The sequence below is a fragment of the Homo sapiens genome, chromosome 17 (assembly GCF_000001405.40).
Source record: "Homo sapiens chromosome 17, GRCh38.p14 Primary Assembly".
Lineage (NCBI taxonomy): Eukaryota > Metazoa > Chordata > Mammalia > Primates > Hominidae > Homo > Homo sapiens.
The window spans coordinates 76565362-76585965 of NC_000017.11; the positions used below are offsets into that span (position 1 = coordinate 76565362).

The 20604-nt window shown below is 53.6% G+C and overlaps 2 protein-coding genes across 2 annotated transcripts, besides 4 other annotated features; both read right to left on the reverse strand.

Annotated features, from left to right (window-relative positions):
* Positions 1-15: 15 nt before the first annotated feature.
* ST6GALNAC2 (ST6 N-acetylgalactosaminide alpha-2,6-sialyltransferase 2) lies at positions 16-20499 on the reverse strand. The gene is made up of 9 exons (NM_006456.3): positions 20323-20499; positions 13395-13455; positions 9004-9178; positions 7834-8002; positions 7276-7414; positions 5204-5307; positions 3352-3435; positions 2092-2191; positions 16-910 (listed from the first exon to the last, which is right to left on the reverse strand). Exons 1-9 carry the CDS (start codon positions 20445-20447, stop codon positions 743-745), a joined length of 1125 nt encoding a protein of 374 aa, NP_006447.2. The 5' UTR covers positions 20448-20499; the 3' UTR covers positions 16-742.
* Positions 1397-1897: an enhancer, noted in NCBI's record as "H3K27ac hESC enhancer chr17:74562840-74563340 (GRCh37/hg19 assembly coordinates)". NCBI's record gives its function as "activates a minimal SCP1, AML or CMV promoter by ChIP-STARR-seq in naive H9 embryonic stem cells {active_cell/tissue: H9 hESC(naive)}" and the evidence as "EXISTENCE:reporter gene assay evidence [ECO:0000049][PMID:30033119]".
* Positions 1898-2398: an enhancer, noted in NCBI's record as "H3K27ac hESC enhancer chr17:74563341-74563841 (GRCh37/hg19 assembly coordinates)". NCBI's record gives its function as "activates a minimal SCP1, AML or CMV promoter by ChIP-STARR-seq in naive H9 embryonic stem cells {active_cell/tissue: H9 hESC(naive)}" and the evidence as "EXISTENCE:reporter gene assay evidence [ECO:0000049][PMID:30033119]".
* On the reverse strand, positions 3436-4287 carry LOC122455342 (testis-specific serine/proline-rich protein). Its single transcript, NM_001395979.2, has one exon. It carries the CDS (start codon positions 4285-4287, stop codon positions 3436-3438), a length of 852 nt encoding a protein of 283 aa, NP_001382908.1.
* Positions 4156-4657: an enhancer, noted in NCBI's record as "H3K4me1 hESC enhancer chr17:74565599-74566100 (GRCh37/hg19 assembly coordinates)". NCBI's record gives its function as "activates a minimal SCP1, AML or CMV promoter by ChIP-STARR-seq in naive H9 embryonic stem cells {active_cell/tissue: H9 hESC(naive)}" and the evidence as "EXISTENCE:reporter gene assay evidence [ECO:0000049][PMID:30033119]".
* Positions 20256-20595: a silencer, noted in NCBI's record as "silent region_9022". NCBI's record gives its function as "represses an Ori minimal core promoter by ATAC-STARR-seq in GM12878 lymphoblastoid cells {active_cell/tissue: GM12878}" and the evidence as "EXISTENCE:reporter gene assay evidence [ECO:0000049][PMID:35858748]".

Here is a 20604-nt window from a genome sequence, read left to right on the forward strand (position 1 = left end):
TTACTGACGCCATGATATGAGGATGAAGGTTTATTACCTGGTGACATCATCCTGTTGGTGACAAGGTGGTGATACATCTCTAATGGGACTTCCCTCAGTGGCAGGCAGGCTGCCAAGCAACTAACCCCCATCAAGTGCCAGACCCTCCCAGTGTTCTGAGAGTCATCTCCATGCTAAACAGCCTGCGTTTTATATGATTTCTCTACCCAGCCAAAAAAAAAAAAATGGTCCATCATGTACGCAGTTATCTAGTCTTAAGTTATATTCTGGCTTTTTTCTCCCACTTTATTATGGAGCAGAAGTAAGCCTATCATGTTCTTAGAAAGGCTCTTAAGAGGTGTCCTGGAGTCCTTGAATCACTTTAGCATCTGGGGTAGGATGTGCCACCAGGAGGATTTGGGCTGGAGCGTGTGTGTTTGCCTTTGACCTGGACTGCTGTCTGATCTTGCTGAACACTCCACCGACATTTCCTAAAGTTGCTCAGTGCCAATCCAGCAAAGCAGTCCATTTTCCCTTGGCCAAGATTGAGATGTATTGTTTTAGATACAGAAGAGTTCTTGGATGAGCCAAGGACAAGCTGGGGTGTCCTATATTGAACAGACCTCGATGAAAATCTTGAATTCACCCCAGTGCCCTCTGTTGGCAAGGGAAGGTGAAGATTGAAAAGTTAAAAAAGCTTTTGGCCACTTGAGAGGATCAGGGCCGCAACTCTTGAAGAAGCAAAGGGCTCAGTGCATTGGGGTCAGCGCTGGTACAGCTGAAGGATGCCGGCCTTGTGCAGGTCCCTCCACAGGGCAGCTTCCAGGGACAGATCGTGGTTTGCATAAAATATCAATGGCTTCATTTTTCGTTCGAAATAGTGGTCGGAAAATTTCCAGTAGTTGCTTGTGATGAATCCATAGGCACTGACCTGGGCAAGGATAGTCGCTGGATTAGTATTTGTTGAGCGTCTAGTGTGTACAGACACTTGGGTGAAGTGACATGAGTTTAGAAAGGTGTCCGTCTGCTGAGGTGAGGATAATGGTCTAGGGCTTATTCCCACTTAGCAAGTGGGGAGATGGATTCAGGGGTGACTCACTGTGTCCCCACTTGGCATAGCTGGTGATTGCCAGAGCTGGATTTGGAACTCAAGGGTGGAGGCAAAAGCCCATTACTACTCTCTCCATCCTAACTGGGGACTGCAGTCAAGACACTCCTGCATCAGAATAGGAAAAGGCCCTGTGTGGTGGCTCACGCCTGTAATCCCAACACTGGGAAGCTGAGGTGGGAGGATCACTTGAGCTTGGAAGTTTGAGACCAGCCTGGGCAACATGGTAAGACCCTGTCTCTACAAAAAGTAAAAAAAAAAAAAAAGAGCTGGGCGTGGCAGTACATGCCTGTGATCCCAGCTACCCAGCTACTTGGGAAGCTGAGGCAGGAGGATCATCACACCACTGCACTTAAGCCTGGGTGACAGAGTTGAGACCCTGTCTCAAAAAAGAGGGAAAAGATTTAGGTGTGAGTCGTGGAGAGGCATTTGGCCCCCAGCTCTCCATACCAGCTTTAGCATGGGTCACGGCCTCTCCTTGAAAGCTGCTGCTTGGCCCCTGCCTCCATGAGCTTCACGTGGGTCATATCCCATCAGGAATGACTCTTAACGGTGATTTCAAAGTAGTTGCATGTGGGAGGCTAAACCTGCTGCCCTACCCCAGCTCTAGGATGTCCCCATAAAAGAATGTCCCTATTTGGCCCAGTATGTTGAGGACTTTGGCTTTCACAAGGGCAGTTTGATGATTTGAGCCTTAAATACCATACTGAGTGGCTGCCTTGGAGAAGAGTGAAAGAAGGAAGCCTGGGGCAGGTGTCAGGAGCCAAGGCAAGCCTGAGGCAGGTGTCCGGAGCCAAGGCAAGGCTGGCCCAGGACCTGTCCTTCAAAGGCCCCAGGGTTGTGGGCAAGGAAGTGAGCAGTACCAGCAGCACTCTTGGAACTGGGGATTCCACGAACAGAGGCCAAGAGTCCCAGCTCCGAGGTAAGGGATATCAGGGGATCCTGTTGGGTTCTGTTATCCTGTGTTCTGCCGGCATGGGCTTCTGGAAGAGAAGGCCTCTTACCTGGTCACAGGTATGCAAAGCTGTCAGCAGCATGAGAGCCCCGGTACTAGGCATATATAGGTCTCCAAAATGTGTGTTAATCAACTTTGATTTCAAGAACCTGGAAGCAAAAAGAGACATTTCAGCTCACTAGCTTGATGGCTATCATCACACTTCACAACTACACATTCAAATAGGTGGGAAAACTTCAAAAACTGAGGGCCTTCTACTCCAGTCAGTTCTTTATTCGGTCCAAGTGGACTAAATACAAAGATCTTTGAGACCTTAGGTAAGGTTGGGGGAGGGGGTGGTGAGAAAGGAACCACAGGTTCCCCCTTTTGGCAACAGCTTGTTTTCACCCCAAGCTACTAAGTAACCACACTGCCAAGGGCATAGGTGGCCTGTTTATTTAGCCTGAGACTGCAGTTTCTCTCTACTCCACATCTTGATTAAGTAGGAATCACGTGTGAGGGACAGGGAGCTCAGACCCTGTGACCGGACCCACACAGTCCAAGAGTGAGGCCAGGGTGTGACCACGGGCTCTGCCCTCAGGCCTGAGTTCACATCGAGCTGTGCCAGGCCGATCACCTGACCTCTCAGAGCCTGTCTTCCTCTGTAGCACGGGACTAATTAGAGGGGCTTCATTTGCCTCCCCACATCCACACACCCCTCTCCAACTGCTCCCTGCCCTGGGATTCGAGCCTCTGGTCCACAGCAGGGTTTCTCAGTCTCAGTGCTGTTGACACTTGGGGCCAGGTGCTTCTTGTGATGTTCAGCAGCATCCCTGGCCTCTACCCACTGATGGCACTTGCCGCCACCACCCTTGTGACAACCCCAGACGAGGACCATATGCACATCCACATTGAGAACCCCTGGCAGGAGGGAGGGAAGGGGGTTGAGGCTGGTCCCCGGGTTCCTTCCGGCACCTTGTGTTGGCTGTGTTTGGGCCTGAAGGTTCTGATGCCCTGCTGCTGACGGCGCCACTGCTGCTGTGCACCTTATGGTCCCAGCTCCCAGTCTGTGCCTTTGTATAAACCTCCTTGAGTTATCCTGAGTTTCCTGTCCATTTCCTGGTGACTGACATATATCACCCTCCCTCTATCAAGGTGCTAAATAAAACAGTAAATGAAGTGACAGTGCTTTGCACACAGCACTCGGGACAGTGGAGCTCTGGTTATCGGTCAGTGCGTGGGGCTCGTGCGAGGGCGCTGACTGGATGTGGGTGGGTGTGTAAAAGGGGGAAGGAAGGGGACGCTGTTCTTCAGGCACCCCACTCCGTACCTTTCTGTCAGGTAGCTGATGAAGTCCGGATGTAGCAGCTTGAATTTACTGGCAGAGGCTTCTGGTCCAAAATAGGCGTGCGGCCTAGGACCCATGATAGAAGTGGACAGAGCGCCCAGAGCCGTCGTATTGCAAGGGGGAGATGGAGGGGAGGGTCAGGGCGCCGGAGTAGCCGCGGTACCCTGAGCGGTAGGAGCGGGGCTGGGAGTAGTAGCGGGAGAAGGGGGTGTAGAAGGTGGCAGGCAGTACGTTGGGGACCACGTGCGGCTTCCCGCTCACCAGGACCTCCACGGGCGGGGTGTAGGAGAGAGAGGAGGGGGGCATGAACAGACCGGGGGGAGTTGGGAAGGGGCAGTTAAACTGGGGGTGGTGGGGGGGCGGGGGAAGGAGAGGTAAGTAGAGTGAGTCAGGAGGGGGTGGGGGCTTCCGGGCAGGGCAGGGAGAGGGACAGGCAAAGCATGGGTTTTGGGGAAGTGGTGCTGTGGGGGGCTGGAAAAAGGGGGGCTCCTTCAGAAAGCGGGGCACATAGGGGGTGATATAGGACGGGATGTTCTGAATTGGCCCGATATAGGAAGATGAGGTGGCAGGGCTGTAGAAGGAGGACTTGGGGGGCACAGCGGGGGTTAGGGAAGGGTTTCGAGAGAGGGATTTGAAACCAGACTGGGAGGGAGATTTGGAGGTGGGTGGGGTGGGGGTTTGGGCAGCCCCGCGGGGCACGTGTTGGACCTGAGGACTGGGGTTCAGGGACGAAGTCCGGGAAGAGGGCTGTGAGGCATTTGGGGTGGGAGGGTGGGAGGGGGGCCGGGAGGAAGAGCCCCGAGTGGGGGAGGGGGAAGGGGCAGGCTGCTGGCCTGGAGGGGTGACAATGTTGTTGGAACGGGACTGGGAGGGAGACTGGGTAGGGGATGGATTAGGGGTGTGGGAAGGGGAGCTCATTGGTGTTGGGGAGGCTTAGGTCCACCCGATGTCTCTGAGGCAGCCCCTAAGGGCCCAAGCCCAGCGTGTCACAAAGCCCAGCTCAGACCAGCAGTGGAAGCAATTGTTGGGTAATCACCAAGCGGGGGTGGGGTGGGCCTGGCTTTAGAACCCTTAACCCATAAGGACCACCTGTAAAGCTGCTCTGTGGGGGGTGGGGAAGATGTCCTCAGCGAGACGCCGAGATAGGAGGGCTGGTTGTCTGGGCCACAGCAGTGGCGTCGATTTTTAGGGACCTGATCTCAGGGACAAGAAATTGTCTCAGAACCCCCGGGAGGAGGTTCAGATGAGGGTCAGGTCGTGGCTCAAGAGAGCTGGACCCAGGCCTGCTGTGCAGGAAGGTGGGAAAGAAGACAAAGGGCCCATTGTTTCCGCCTCTCAGGACACTGGGCCTCGAGTCTGCTCTCCCGTTTCATGGGCATGACCCTGGGAAGGATGCCCAGCAGGAGGAGTGGCCCAGACTGGCCCCAACTCTTGTTTCCAGCACAGTGTGCTCAGTGGGACAGCGGACCCAGCCCAGTCTGTGACCCGGAGCCGCTGGCGGCTGGGCTGGGCAGGGAGAGTGCAGCCCAAAGCCGAGAAGCCAGACCTGCTCACCCCATTCAGAAGAGCTGCCTCTCCCACCCCCAGCCCACTGCCCCCAGAGGGCTACTGGGAACCCGGAGGGTCACCTGGGCTTTCCAGGGGTAGACAAAAAGTAGAATTTCCCAGTGCTGTTATGTGAATAATTGGGGATGATTGAATTCTTAGGGCTGTTCTTACTGCCCTTCACCCACCTCCTCTTACCCCATGATGGGCCCTGGGAGCAAAAAGGAGATAACCACAGTGTCCCTTGCCCCTCTGCCACGCCCCACACCACCACGGCCTGGCTGCTCACCTGTCCCCTTTATCTAGGCCCTCAGGGACAGGCACGCCCAGAATGGCCGATCTCAGCATCACATAGTCGCGGATGTCTGAGGGGATGAAGATATACTGCAGGTCCTGTCAGAATAGAGACAATGAGCCCAGAGGGGAACCAGGACATGTTTAGCTCCTCAGTGTGGACAGCCCTCCACCCAACCTTGCCCCCTGAGCCGACTGGAGAATTTCCCTTAAATACCTTTCATTCCCACCCAGAGGTGCTGTACTGGTTTCAGTGTAGGTCCACAAATCCTCTAATGCTCCTTCAGGAGGTGGCACCCAATTGCCATCCCCTGGAGTATGGGCTGGACTTAGCGACTCATGCACAGGATTTTTCTGATAAAGAGGAAAGTGATGGTGTGTGGCTTAGAGACTAGGTCATAAAAGGCACTGTGGCTTCCTTTACGTTCTCAGATCACTCACTCTGGATGAAGTTAGCTGCCATGTCGTGAGGACACTCAAATAGCCTACAGAGGGCCCAAGTGGCAAGGGCCCGTGAGACGCCATCTTGATGTCAGCTCCAGTCAAGCTTTTGGGTCTCTCAGATGATGCAGCCCATCATCTGCACCTGGGCCAAAACCTCCCACTAAGCTCCCCACAAATTCCTGACCCATTGAAACCACAAGATAGTCAATATTTGTTGTTTAAAGCCACCAAGTTTTGAGGTCATTTGTTACACAGTAATAGATAACTCGTACATGTACTGTGGCTACACTGAAACTAAGGCCAGGCGCGGTGGCTTACGCCTATAATCCCAACACTTTGGGTGGCCGAGGCAGACGGATCATTTGAGGTCAGGAGTTCAAGACCAGCCTGGCCAACATGGTGAAACCCCATCTCCACTAAAAATACAAAAATTAGCCAGGCGTGGTGGTGCGTGCCTGTAATCCCAGCTTCTTGAGAGGCTGAGGCAGGAGAATCGCTTGAACCCAGGAGGCAGACATTGCAGTGAGCTGAGATTGCACCATTGCACTCCAGCCTGGGTGACAGAGTGAGACTCCGTCTCAAAACAAAACAAAAGTCTAAAGCTGCTCTATTTTGTTCCACTTCACAGAAGAGAGGTTCTAGTGTGAGGACTCAGTGTGGCATAGACACTATGGTAGGACACTCCTTAAGCCCCTGGTCAGGGGAGGAAGCTTCTAGAAACCCAACTCAGCTTCCTCCGGCACTGCAGATCCCCTTTTCCTGAGATCCCCTAACCCTGTGGCTGTGGCACCCACAGCCCCTGAGGAGGGAAGCTTTGAGTTAACGGCCTTTGGGTGTGGGTGGAGGAACCTGGAGGCCAGCAGGTAGGGCCAGATGCTAGCTCGCATGCAGTGGCTGCCACCTGGGACACGTCCCTCAGTGTCTCTGACCCTCAATTTCCCACACAGGGCTATTGTGAGATTTCAAGAGGCCACACATCATTCTTCCAGGGGCCAGTGTGGGGAAATGGAAACAACCCCAGCGCTGGGGTCAGAGGGTCCTAGATCTAGATGGTTCCAGCTGGGTGACCCTGGACATGTTCCTGAACCTCTCAGCGTCCCTGCTTTGTCATCTGGAAATGGGTACACGGGTCCCACTCAGGGCTGCTGTGGTGACCGTGTGTGTGCCCTGTAACATGCTGGGAGGAGGAACTCCATAAATCCCCTTCTCCTGGGAGTCTGAGCTCCCCAAAGAATGCCAGCTCTCGAGGTGGGGGGTACTCTGGGTGCAAATCCTGACCCTACCGCTGACTCACTGAATGAAAGGCACCAGGCTTTTATCCCCACACCAGTAAAACCATGGGTTGCACGGTCTCTGTAAAGTGCCTGGCAAGTCACAAGCGTTGGGTAAATGCTGGCCATTCACATCCCATACTGCAGAGGAGTCCCGTGACGCCTGAATCAGCAGGGAGTCCGGGACCAGATCCCCCCTCACCTTCAGTGGCTGTATCTTGCATCCAGAATCCTGGCACCCCCTCAGCATCCACTGGACCAGGGTGTGTGAGCCCTGTGGCCCCCACTGAGGGGACTCCAGGAACAATGGTGCCATTGTCAACCACAATGGCATGCCCGCCAGAGGCCTCACCTGTCCTTGTGGCACGGAGGTGAAGCCCAGATTCCAGTAGGAGACGAGGGAGTTCTTCATCGTGTTCACAGTGAAACCATAGAAGGAAGTCTTGGTGCCCACATCGCGCTCGAAGCCTTTGATCACAGCTCCATTGAGTCTGGTTGGCACAGAGGCCCATCAGTGTCTGCGGTTACACCAGGCCGTCTGTTCTGCTTCCATCTCCACGGCTCTGCCTGGCCTATCCCCCTGCCTCTGTATGACCACTCCTTCTGCCCATGGCAGTACCAGTGCCCAGTTGTCAACCAGACCCCCACTCCTCCAGACCTCAAGGGGTGACGCCCTGTGAGTGGGTAGAGCTGGCCCTGGCGGCTGCTTCCTCCTGGGTCCCCTGCATGGGCACCCATGCTCCGTCCTCAGGGCCTACTGTTTGTTTTTGCCTTGTCCATGCCCGTGTGCTGGTCACAACTGCTGAGCCGCCCAGGCCACTGCTGCCATAGCCCACTGCCCCTGGGGGAGACACCCCCACCCTCCAGGCAACTCTCCCTCCCGCCCCTCCCCAGCTCCTACCCCTCATACCTGAATACATAGTCATGGGCATCGATGTTGGGACCCTGGCGGGACCCATTCAGAATGCCTCCGTTGCCCACCACGGCACACCGGATACACTTTGGAGGGGTGTCCCTGGGCGGGGCAAACAGCTTGGCACTCTCTGAGCCGTTCAGAAGGCTCAGGGTGGAGGCGATGACTGTGGGTGCAGATGGGGAGCAGCCATGAGGAGGGCTGGCATCGGGGGCACCTGGGGCCTTCCCTAGGCTGGTTCTGGTGCCCCATCTCCCCTGAGGCCTGACCCTAGCCCCTCCCAAGAAGCACAGAGGGTGGGAGGGGAAGGAGATGTCTGTGGGGGGAGAATTGAAAAGCTGACAGTGGAAGAGGGGGCTTGGCGGCCTTCACTTGTCTTAAGAACTTGAATACCTTATCTTCTTAAGACTGGTGCTAGAGAAGTGAGCTCAGGGCTTAAAAAAGACTGGGCTGGGCACGGTGGCTCACACCTGTAATACCAGAACTTTGGAAGGGTGAGGTGGGTGAATCACTTGAGGCCAGGAGTTCGAGACCAGCCTGGGCAACATGGTGAAACCATGTCTCTATTAAAAATACAAAAATTAGCCAGGCGTGGTGGTGCGTGCCTAATCCCAGCTACTTGGGAGGCTGAGGCACAAGAATCACTTGAACCCGGGAGGCGGAGGTTGTAGTGAGCTGAGATTGTGCCATTGCACTCCAGCCTGAGTGACAGAGCGAGACTCCATCTCAAAAATAAAAAAGACTGTATATTGCAAAAGAAAAGAATCGGAGGCCTGTGGGGGTTTGGGTGCAGGTATAATGTAGAGGGGGCTCTGGGCCTGCAGTGTGGGGGTTCCTGCAGCAGCAACCGTGAGTGAGGTGGTTTGAGGCCCCACAGCCTCTGTCCTTGGCCACCATTGGACGCTGCAGCCTTTCTTGCCAGGGAGGCCCCAGGATGGTGAGGCCCACTGGCGGGGGCAGCCCCATGACTCTCACTGACCCCTGGGTGCTTGGACGGAGGAGGGAGGTGAGGCAGGAGTTGCATAGCTGGGGCTTCTGGGAGGAGAGAGGGGGACAGGGAGACCTGGCATCACCAGTGCTATGAGGGCAGAGAGGCCTGGCCTACTTCAGGGCAAAGAGCAGGAAGCTAAGGCAGAAGGCAGGTGAGAGACAGCGGGCGCGGGTTACCTTGGTGAGAGAGCCCCCGCCAGCCATACGGGGCTTTGTGTTGGCTCAGGCGGTCCCAGAGCGCTGGGGTGAAGAGGTCCCCCCACAGCAGCACTGGAATGGAGAGATTGAACAGGCCACGGAAGTGGGGGTGCCGCTGAATGGCCAGGTGAAGCAGGTGTCGGCAGGCCTGGCCCTGTGGGTGAGAAGGTGAGGGCTGAGCCCCGTTAGGTAGGGGCTGGGGTGGGTGGGGCCCTGCAGACCCTGCAGGGGAGTTGCGAGTTGTGAGGGAAGGCCTGCCCTGTCCCCTCCAGATTGGGGCCATCCTTGCATTTTTTTTTTTCTTTTTTTGAGACAGAGTCTCGCTCTGTCGCCCAGGCTGGAGTGCAGTGGCCCCATCTCGGCTCACTGCAAGCTCCGTCTCCCGGGTTCACGCCATTCTCCTGCCTCAGCCTGCCGAGTAGCTGGGTCTACAGGCGCCCGCCACCACGCCCGGCTAATTTTTTGTATTTTTAGTAGAGACGGGGTTTCACCATGTTAGCCAGGGTGGTCTTGATCTCCTGACCTCGTGATCCACCCGCCTCGGCCTCCCAAAGTGCTGGGATTACAGGCGTGAGCCACCGCGCCTGGCCCATCCTTGCATTTTTGAACTGAGCTGGCAGCTAGGGGGTCTGGGAACTTTCTGGATTTAGCCTGCCTAGCTCTTCCTCTCCCAGAGGCCATGTCCCCTTGGCCTGGTGGTTCTGGCCTCACACTCCTTCATCTCACGCTTGAGCAAACTCTGGGGCATTTTCTGATGTATGGGTCTGACCTGCCTGCCCTTTGGTGGAGTAGTTTCAGCCTGGGCTGAGCTGAGGCTGTCACCCTGGATGCAAAACCCTAACCCTACTGGTACTCGCTGTATAATTTGTGTGTGAACAGGCTGCCAGGAAGATCCGTGATAGTCTTTCTTTCCAGTGGTGCCTTTAGGGAGTGGAAGTGTCCCCCCAAAATTCATTACCCAGAGCCTTGGAATGTGACCTTAGTTGGAACTAGGGTCTTTGGAGATGGAATTAGTTAGGAGGAGGTCATATAGGGTGAGGTCAGGCCCTAACTAGCATCCGTGGAAAGAGGCCGGGTGATGATGAAGCAGGGATCTGTGCGATGCACCATAAGCCAAAGAGCAGTGGAGCCGCCAGAGCTGGGAAAAGGCAGGGGAGGCTTTCTTCGAGCCTTCGGAGGGAGCGTGGCCCTGCCAGCACCTTGATTCTGGGCTTCTGGGCTCCAGAACTGTGACGATTCAATTTCTGTGGATCGAAGCCCCCCAGGCTGTGATCATTTGTTCCAGCAGCCACGGGGAAGGAACACAGCACCTCTGTACTTGTGGGCCTTGAGGGAGGGTGAGGTCAGGAAACAGGCCCCAGCCTTGTCTGCCCGTGACCCCACAAGTTCAGAATCACACACAGTCATGGCCTGGGTGGGCCTTCTATTACTCCTGAATGGGGCTCTTTGTTAAGCCATTCGTTTGATCAAAAGACAAAGCAGGAAATAGCTGTACAGTAATTTCTGCTATAATGCAACTTATGAGTGGCTAAATATCACCATGCTATGCAAAGCTATGCAATCATGATCATGGGGTAGCTGGGCATGGGGGCTCACCCCTCTAATGCCAGCGCTTTGGGAGGTCAAGGCGGGAGGATAACTTGAGGCCAGGAGTTTCCAGATTAGCTTGGTCAACATAACAAGACCCCATGTCTGCAAAAAAATGTTTTTTCATTAGCCAGGCATGGTGGCCCAGACCTATGGTCCCAGCTACTTGGGAAGCTGAGGTGGGAGGATTGCTTGAACCTGGGAGATTGAGGCTGCAGTGAGCTACTGAGACTGCACTGCAGCCTGGGCAACAGAGTGAGACCCCATCTCAAAAACAAAACAAAACAACAATAGCAAAACGAAAAACCACGGGCCTATGAGAACATGGGATGAGTGACATAACACTGAAACGCTGTCAGGAATGCGTAAAACCAAAGATACAAATCGAAGAAAGACAGAAGCACAGTTTTACTGATGTCCCGTGGTTAAAGAATACTTGAGATTGATGTGGAAGTGGGTGTGGAAGTGGGTGTCGGAAGGGGGCAGTTTGTGTGATATTGTGAAATGGTGGAAAGAAGTTGTCTGAAATCGGAGGGAATTGTGCCACCAGACTCACTAGGGCAGGTGAACCCATAACACACTCGGTGAAGCTGATGGAGATTTCAGGTGTGCATGTGTGTACTTTTTGTGTATTCCTACATGGCTCTGCTGAGTTGGGTGTGGTTTCTATGTTAACCTAGAGTTTTCACTGACAAAACCACTCAAAAAAAAATCCAGGCCGGGCACGGTGGCTCATGCCTATAATCCCAGCACTTTGGGAAGCAGAGGTGGGTGGATCACCTAAGTTCAGGGGTTTGAGACCAGCCTGAGCAACGTGGTGAAACCCTGTCTGTACTAAAAATACAAAATTAGCCTGGTGTGGTGGCACATCCCTGTAATTCCAGCTACTTGGGGGGCTGAGGCACAAGAATTGCTTGAACGTGGGAGGCGGAGGTTGCAGTGAGCCAAGATGGCGCCATTGCACTCCAGCCTGGGCAACAAGAGCGAAACTCCATCTCAAAAAAAAAAAAAAATGCAAAATGTATGTGATGCTCAGATTGTTTCCTAATATGTCAATCTTGTTGGAACAAATTAACAAATTCTTTTTTTTCTTTTTTTTTTTTTTTTTTTTGAGACGGAGTTTCGCTCTTGTTGCCCAGGCTGGAGTACAATGGCATGATCTCAGCTAACTGCAACCTCCACCTCCCAGGTTCAAGTGATTCTCCTGCCTTAGCCTCCCAAGTAGCTGGGATTACAGGCGCCTGCCACCATGCCTGGCTAATTTTTTGTATTTTTTGTAGAGACAGGGTTTCACCATGTTGACCAGGCTGGTCTTGAACTCCTGATCTCAGGTGATCCACCCACCTCGGCCTCCCAAAAGTGCTGGGATTACAGGCATGAGCCACTGCGCCTGGCCGTTTTTGTCTTCTTATATGTGTCCAAAAGCCACCTCAGACCCTTTGGTTTAGACCAGGTGGGGACATACGTCAGTTAGCAATGAACAGCTCAAGGCTCAAGGTGGAAAAGAGTTTAGGAAGCTTGAAGATGACCTGGTCCAAGCACTCCTAAGGTGCTCAAGGCCTCTCTTCAGCCTGCCGGCCAAGTGCCCATTGGCCTCTGTATTTTTTTTTTTTTTTTTTTTGAGACGGAGTTTCGCTCTGTCACTCACGGTGGAGTGCAGTGGCACGATCTCAGCTCACTGCAACCTCCGTCTCCTGGGTTCAAGCAATTCTGCCTCAGTCTCCCAAGTAGCTGGGATTACAGGAGCCCGCCACCATGCCTGCCTAATTTTTTGTATTTTAGTAGAGATGGGGTTTCACTGTGTTGCCCAGGCTGGTCTCGAACTCCTGAACTCAGGCAATCTGCCCACCTCGGCCCCCCAAAGTGCTGGGATTACAGGTGTGAGCCACCACGTCCAGCGGCCTCTGTTCCTAAGACAGGGCCCCCATCACCTGCCCGGGCTACTTGCTGTGTCTCTGAACAGCTTGGCTGTCGCTAAGCTCTAGCATGCAGTGAAATCTTTCTCCTAGAGGCCCCAGTCAGCATGTCCCATTTTAGTCTCTTGGGCATGGAAAACACCTCTTAAGCCTGTATTAATCCAGAACAACACAGTCATCATCCTGCTTATCGGCAGCACATGGAGCCAGGGTGGGGTGGAGTGGGATGAGGTTGGGGAGGTTGTATCGCGCAATGGTTCTGAGCCAGGTTCCAGACAAGAGGCTCAAACTCCAGGACTACCTCTTACTACCTAAGCGGGGTACTTAACTTCTTGGTGCCTCATTTTGCTCATTTGTAAGGGCCACATTCTAGGGTTGCTGCGAGGCTTCCGTGAGAGAACGCAGGTAAAGTCCCAAAATTAATGCTGTCTGTTACTTACGGTTATAAGGCAGGGCCCTGAAGCTTCTCAAACCTTCTGGGCAAGCAAGGGCATCTTTTCAGAGCTTGGAGTTTGCTCCAGGGTGAGCAGTTTAAATGTGACTTTTATAGGAAGTAGATATTTTGAGGAGTAGAATATAAAATTCACAGGACTATTTAAGATACAATCTTAAGACTCCAAAGAACTGTTCAGCTGGCTACACCCCATGAGTACATATTTATTCATCCTTCTCTGCTGTTGGGCCACAAGAAACCCTATTGGTCAGGTCTGAGAGGCCCTGAAGGGACGGATGCTCAGCTGTAACTTAGGGCGTTCCAAAGAGCTCCTGCCCAGCAATCTCATGAGAGTGTTCTCGTTTGCTCTTCTTCCCTCCTCCCCACTAATTTGAGGGTGCTCAAAACTGCCACAGGGTAGTCGACCACTCTACCTTTCCTGTCCAAGAATTCGATGCCTTGGATTGAAAGAATGCTTCAAATGATGTGGTGTCCCTGGGGGAAAAAGCAGAAAAAAGCAGGGGTCAGCAGCTCTGACCTACCCCTTGGAAGCTTTTGGACTGACCGACCCCCTTAGCTCTAGGGGCGGACAAAGTCTGTCTGTGCCCATCGTGGTGGCTCACATCTGTAATCCCAGTGCTTTGCTGGAGTACAGTGGTGCAATCTCGGCTCACTGCAACCTCTGCCTCCTGGGTTCAAGTGATTCTCCTGCCTCAGCCTCCTGAGTAGCTGGGATTACAGGCATGCGCCACCACACCCAGCTAATTTTGTATTTTTAGTAGAGACGGGGTTTTTCCATGTTGGTCAGGCTGGTCTCGAACTCCCGACTTCAGGTGATCTGCCCACCTTGGCCTTCCAAAGTGCTGGGATTACAGGCGTAAGCCACTGCGCCCAGCTCTGTGCTCTTATTCTTGCCATGTCTTTCTCTTTAGGCACACAGGATACTGTCACTTTCTTATGTTTTGCCTCACTGTGTAAACTCAAAGATCAAGGCGTCCCTCAGCAAGTGGCAGAAATGTGGAGTTTATAGGAACAGTGAGATGGTGGCTTAAAATATATGAAAATAGAAAAGATTGCCAGCCACCTGGAACTGTGACCATCTGAAGGATCTCCCTGACAGGGCCCCAGAGGCAGGCATTAGGTCTGAGATGACTGGGCCTTCCTTCCCCTTTGTGTGGGTCACGCCCACCACTCCTGAAGTACAATCCTGGTTAAGGTTATGGCTCTTGCTATGGTTTGAATGAGTCCCCCAAAGTTTATGTGTTGGAAACTGAATCCCCAATGCAACAGTGTTGAGAGATGAGACCTTTAAGAGGTGATTAGGTCACTTGGGCTCTGCCTTCATGAATGGATTAATTTGGTTATTGCAAGAGTGGGTTAGTTATTGTGGAGTGGGTTCCTGATACAAGGATGAATCCAGCCTCTCTTCTCTGGAGCATACGTGCTCTCTTGTCTTTCTGCCTTCCATCTATGAGGATGCAGCAAGAAGGCCCTCTCCAGACACAGACCCTATGACCTGGGACTTCCCAGCCTCCAGAACCATAAGAGGTAACTCTCTGTTTTTTGTAAATGATCCAACTCAGGTGTTCTGTGATAGCAGCACAAAACAGACTAAGACAGCTCTGAAACCTCACTTCCTGGGTTTGCAACCTGTCTCCACCACTTGGCTGCTGTGTGATCTTGGGCAGTTGCTGAACTTCTCAGAACCTCAGTCTCTGCATTTATACAATAGGGATAATCATATTGAGCTCCTTTGATTGTTAGGAGGGTTCAAACAGAGACTGTATGTTAGCACATATAAAAAGTGTCCTCTAGGTGGCCAGGCACGGTGGCTCATGCCTGTAATCCCAGTACTTTGGGAGACCGAGGTGGGTGGATCACGAGGTCAGGAGTTCGAGACCAACCTGGCCAACATGGTGAAACCCCATCTCTACTAAAAATACAAAAATTAGCTGGCATGTTGGCACATGCCTGTAATCCCAGCTACTTGGGAAGCTGAGGCAGGAGAATCGCTTGAAACCGGAAGGTGGAGGTTGTGGTGAGCTGAGATCACACCACTGCATTCCAGCCTGGGTGAAAGAGTGAAACTCCTGGCCGGGTGCGGTGGCTCACGTCTGTAATCCCAGCACTTTGGGAGGCCTAGGCGGGTGGATCACAAGTTCAGGAGATCGAGACCATCCTGGCTAACACGGTAAAACCCCATCTCTACTAAAAATACAAAAAAATTAGCCAGGTGTGGCGGCGGGTGCCTGTAGTCTCAGCTACTTAGGAGGCTGAGGCCCAGGCTACTCGGGAGGCTGAGGCAGGAGAATGGCGTGAACCTGGGAGGTGGAGCTCGTAGTAAGGGGAGATCGCACCACTGCACTCCAGCCTGGGTGACAGAGTGAGACTCCATCTCAAAAAAAAAAAGAGTGAAAGTTTGTCTCAAAAAGAAAATAAAAGAAAAATGTGTTCTCTAAATATTATTTTTACCTCCTAAAGGAGGAAGAGAAAGGATCTTGCTGTGTCAGCCTCTATTATTAGTGTCCCTTCTAGAGGGCAGTAAGGGGATAGTGTTACTATCCCCTCCCAATGCCCAATTCCCAGGCGCTAGGTGGCCCCTGAATCAGGGCAGAAGGAAAACATGAAGGAAGGAATAGGGGTCCTTACCCTTTCAAAAGGTGGCCAGGCTTCTCTCAGACCCCTCCCTTCACCCCAGCAGCCACAGGTGGAGGGGACTCTGGGTTGGCAGCTTGCAAGAGAAACAAAGGTCTCTTGTTACCTGCTTCTAGGTGCTGAGATGCCTGAGCCACAAGGGAACCCAGGATCTGCCTCCCTTTGGTTTCCAGGTTTCCTATAAGACCCTGGAGGGACGGCCCAGAAAGAGCAGAGTTGATCCCTTCCCCCATCCCTCCCTTGCCCCTTGGACTGTCCACTTGTCTGCCCACATAATCCCGTAGTTCCTGCTCATGAGCACAATATGACCCCCTCTGGGAAGGAACTAGGACGGTGGTGCTCAGCCTAGGTTGCCTATGAGAACCCCCAGGGAGGCTTGAAAAACCCCATTGCTCAGCCCCGAAATCCTGAGATTCTGATCTGACTGTTCTGGGGTCGGGGGAGGGCATTGGTGAGTCCAGTCCCTACCCTCCCACCCCAACCAGGTGATTCTGCTGTGCAGCCAGGCTGGAGAGCCTGACGGAGGAGCTGCGGGACAGGGCAGAGTTGAGACGGGTGGGGGACAGGGGTAGAGCTGTAAAGGAGATGATGGGGAACCCCCAAGTTCAGTTTTGCTGCCCTGAACTACCCACCCTCAGGGAGGCCTGGTGTGACTTTAGAGTATCCCTGGTGCTCAGCCACTTCTCCCAGCCCCGCTCCTACTGATCCTTCCAGCCCCTCCCTCTCAGGAATCCAAGTGCCTGGGACACCTGGGAGGGCGTAGGAAGGGGACCAGCCTGCACATGCCCTTCTGGGAGGTTTTACCAGCCTGAGGAGGTATACAGACCATGTGCTGCGTTTTTCAGAAAGCTAATTTTACTCACAACTTAGATCATATTCTCTTTTTTATTTTTATTTTTATTTTTTTTAAGATGGAGTCTCGCTCTGTCACCAGGCTGGAGTAGTACAGTGGTGCATCTTGGCTCACTGCAACCTCCACCTCCTGGGTTCAAGCGATTCTCCTGCCTCAGCTTCCCAAGTAGCTGGGACTACAGGCGCATGCCACCATGCCCAGCTAAGTTTTGTATTTTTAGTAGAGACGAGTTTCACCATGTTGGCCACGATGGTCTTGATCTCTTGACCTTGTGATCCACCCGCCTCGGCCTCCCAAAGTACTGGGGTTACAAGCGTGAGCCACCGTGCCCAGCCTTTTTTTTTTTTTTTTTTTTTTTTTGAGACAGGGTCTCACTTTGTCACTCAGGCTGGAGTGCAGTGGCAGGATCTTGGCTCACTACAGCCTTGACCTCCTGGGCTCAAGCGATCCTCCCATCTCAGTCCCCCAAGTAGCTGTGGCTTACAGGCATGTGTCACCATGCCTGGCTATTTTTTTTTTTTTTGGTATTTTTAGTAGAAACGGGGTTTTGCCATGTTTCAAACTCCTGGGCTCAAGCAATCTGCCTGCCTCAGCCTCCCAAAGTGCTAGGATTATAGGCACGAGCCACCATGCCCGGCCTTCATATTCTTAATACTTAGCCCTAAAATGTTCTCTTTTTAAAAACATAACGTTGACAATGGATAGTAACTGGCAGCCCTATGTTGATTCTCACTCTCCTATTAAACAACAACAACAACTTTTAATAGAAATGCCCATGTGGGGACCCACTGATCCAGATTCTGCCATGAGGAAATGCCCAGACTGGGCTCCACTCTAATCTGCACTAAAGAGCCCTCTCCTTGGGCTCTGTAGACCCTGTCCCAGATGCCCATCTTCCTGGACTGTCCCCTGTAGCCAGGCATGTCCATTTGCAGTCCCAAGCTGGGGAAGCTCATGTGGCCTGCCGGCTCTGCCCAGAATGCCGTCCACCTCCCACTCTCTCCCAGACTAAATATCCACCTCCCACAGCAAGGCTGAGTCCTGACCTGCCCCGCATTGGGGTTTAAGCTACAGTGCAAATACAGAGAAACAGCAGGAAAGGGCCAGGTGCTTGAGTCATACTACATTTTGAAAAGAGGAAAGATCTTTTTTTTAAAAAAGCATTGTTGCATTATAATAGAAGTATAGTAAACTTCATACTTAAAGTCTATTAGATACCCTGAAACAATTTTAATTTGTGTTTTTTAAAAAATGTATTACTCGGGGCTGGGCGCGGTGGCTCACGCCTATAATCCCAGCACTTTGGGAGGCCCAGGTGGACGGATCACGAGGTCAGGAGATCGAGACCATCCTGGCTAACACGGTGAAAACCTGTCTGTACTAAAACATACAAAAAATCAGCTGGGCATGGTGGCGGGCACCTGTAGACCCAGCTACTCGGGAGGCTGAGGTAGGAGAATGGCATGAACCCGGGAGACAGAGCTTGCAGTGAGCCGAGATGGGGCCACTGCACTCCAGCCTGGGCGACAGAGGGAGACTCTGTCCCAAAAAAAAAAAGAAGATAATGTATTACTTGGGAGGCTGAGGTGGGAGAATCATTTTAGCTCAGGAGGTGGAGGTTACAGTGAGCCAAGATAGACCCACTGTACTGCAAGCCTGGGTGACAGAGTGAGACTGTCCCCAAAAGATTATTTTTATAAGAAAAGGAATTCATTTCTTACAGTTATGGAGGCTGGGAAGTCCAAGGTCGAGGAACCACATTTGGTGAAGGCCTTTTTTTTTTTTTTTTCTTTTCTGCTCCTTGTGGAGCAGGGCTACCCCATAGGCAGTGGTCCAGGGCAGCCAGAGGGCCTTGGTGTTGGTGGGGCAGGACGTCACATGCAGAGTGGGGCTGAGTTGCTAGATCAGGTCTCTTCCTTTTTGTAAAATTATTTTTAATTGGCACATACTTGCACATATGTATAGGGTACAGTGTGATATTTCTTTTTTTTTTTTTTGAGATGGAGTCTCGCTCTGTCACCAGGCTGGAGTGCAGTGGCGCGATCTTGGCTCACTGCAAGCTCCACCTCCCAGGTTCACGCCATTCTCCTGCCTCAGCCTCCCGAGTAGCTGGGACTACAGGTGCCCGCCACCACGCCCAGCTAATTTTTTGTATTTTTTAGTAGAGACGGGGTTTCACCGTGTTAGCCAGGTGAAAGCCAGGTCAGGAGGATCTCCTGACCTCGTGATCCGCCTGCCTCGGCCTCCCAAAATGCTGAGACTACAGGCGTGAGCCACCGCGCCCGGCCACAGTGTGATATTTCAATACGTGTATGTAATGTGTAATAATCAAACCAGCTAATTAGCATATCCATCACCTCGAACTTTTTTTTTTTTTTCTGGAGACAGGACCTTGCTGTATTGCCCAGGCTGGAGTGCAGTGGCGCGATCACAGCTCACTGCAGCCTCGACCTCCCAGACTCAAGGGATCTTCTTGGTCAGCTCCCGGAATAGATAGATGGAAGCACAGGCATGCACCACCATCCCCGGATAAGTTTTGTATTTTTGGTAGAGACGAGGTTTCGCCATGTTGCCCAGGCTTATATCAAACATGTATTATTTCTTTGCATTGAGATACTTTGTGTTTTAAACATCTTTACATAAAAGTGACAAGGATTCCTTTTCTTTTGAGACAGGGTCTCTCTCTGTCAACCAGGCTGGAATGCAGTAGTGCAATCACAGCTCACAGCCTCGAATTCCTGGCCTCAAGCTATCCTCCCACCTCCGCCTCCCAGAGTGCTGGGACTACAGGCGTTAAGTCACCGTGGCGGGGCAAGCACCCTTTGTTCTAAGAGTGCTGGACTCCTGATCACTGGCAAGCTGTTTCACATTGTTCTGCAACTTTTGGTGTATCCTTTGACAGCATCTGTGGAGACCAGATACTTATTTTGTTTTCATCCCGTTAGCCCCCCAGCAAGGTTGGTAGGGGGTGCGCAGATGGAAAAGCTCCAGGAAGGGAAAGGCTGGGGCTGGAGGCCTCTCCCTGAGGCTGCCGGGCCCTTCCCTCCTCCCAAACCCAGACTTCGCACGGCTTGGTCCGCCTTTCTTAAGCTAAGCGAAATCGTTTTGCGGCTTCTTCAGTCACCGGAACCACCACCTGCTAGAGGCCGGCTCCCAGGTTCTCCTCGTGGGACACCCAGGAAAGTGCCTAGGGAGGAGGAGGGAGTGGAGCGCAGGACGCGGCGCGGGGAGGAGAACGCGGATGGAGCCAGGAGTCACCCCTCTTTCCCTCGGGCGCCCGCCTCTTCGCGGATCGCGCCCGCACTGGGCTTATCCAGACACGGCGAGCGGAAGCCGGGGAGAAGGGAGCGGGCGCGGGGCGGACAGAGACCGCAGCGGGCGGGAAAGGCGACTGGCCGCGGCCCGACGGAGGGTCCCCGCGAAGTTGGAAACCGGAGACTTGGGCCCCTGCCCAAAAAGCAGAATCTGACGTTACCGAGGGAGAGTTCCCGACAAAAAAGGAAGTTTTTATCTGCTTCGGGGACCCAGCCAGATTTCGACAATAGAAAGTGTACTTATCAGGCCGGGGAGGACTTCACCAACAAGGGGCACCGGGGCGGGTCGCCAGTGCACAGGGGCGAGGTCTTCCTTGGACCCAGGCAAAGGCCGCGGGGTCCGGGCAGCGCGAGGTCAAGGCTGGGAGAGGGTTCTGGCGACAAAGGGCCGCGGCCGAGTCCTCGCTGAGAGCTGCCCCAGAGGGGTCCACGCGGAGGTTGGGCTGAGGGCTGCGGGCCGCCGGGGAGCCCTGGGCTGGGGACCCTCCCCGCGCCCTGGTCGCCCCTGCGCCCTCCCGCTCTGCGCTCGGCAGCCCCTACCTGGCTCCGGCCGCTGGCCCCGGGTACCGCTGCACCGCCGAGAAGTACAGGGCAAAGAGGAGCCCCGAGCAGGCAGCCGTGAGCAGGAGCAGCAGCCAGAAGAACGACCCGCGCGGGAGCCCCATACAGCCCCGGCCCGCGAGCGCCCCGTCCGCTGACGTCCCAGGCAGAAGGGAGAGAACCGGGTGGGCCGGGTGGCACTTGCGGAGGCGGCCGTCTTGCCCTGCCCCGCCCTGCCCGCCGGGTGCCTGCGGCGCCTGCCCGCCCGGCAGCTCCCTCTCG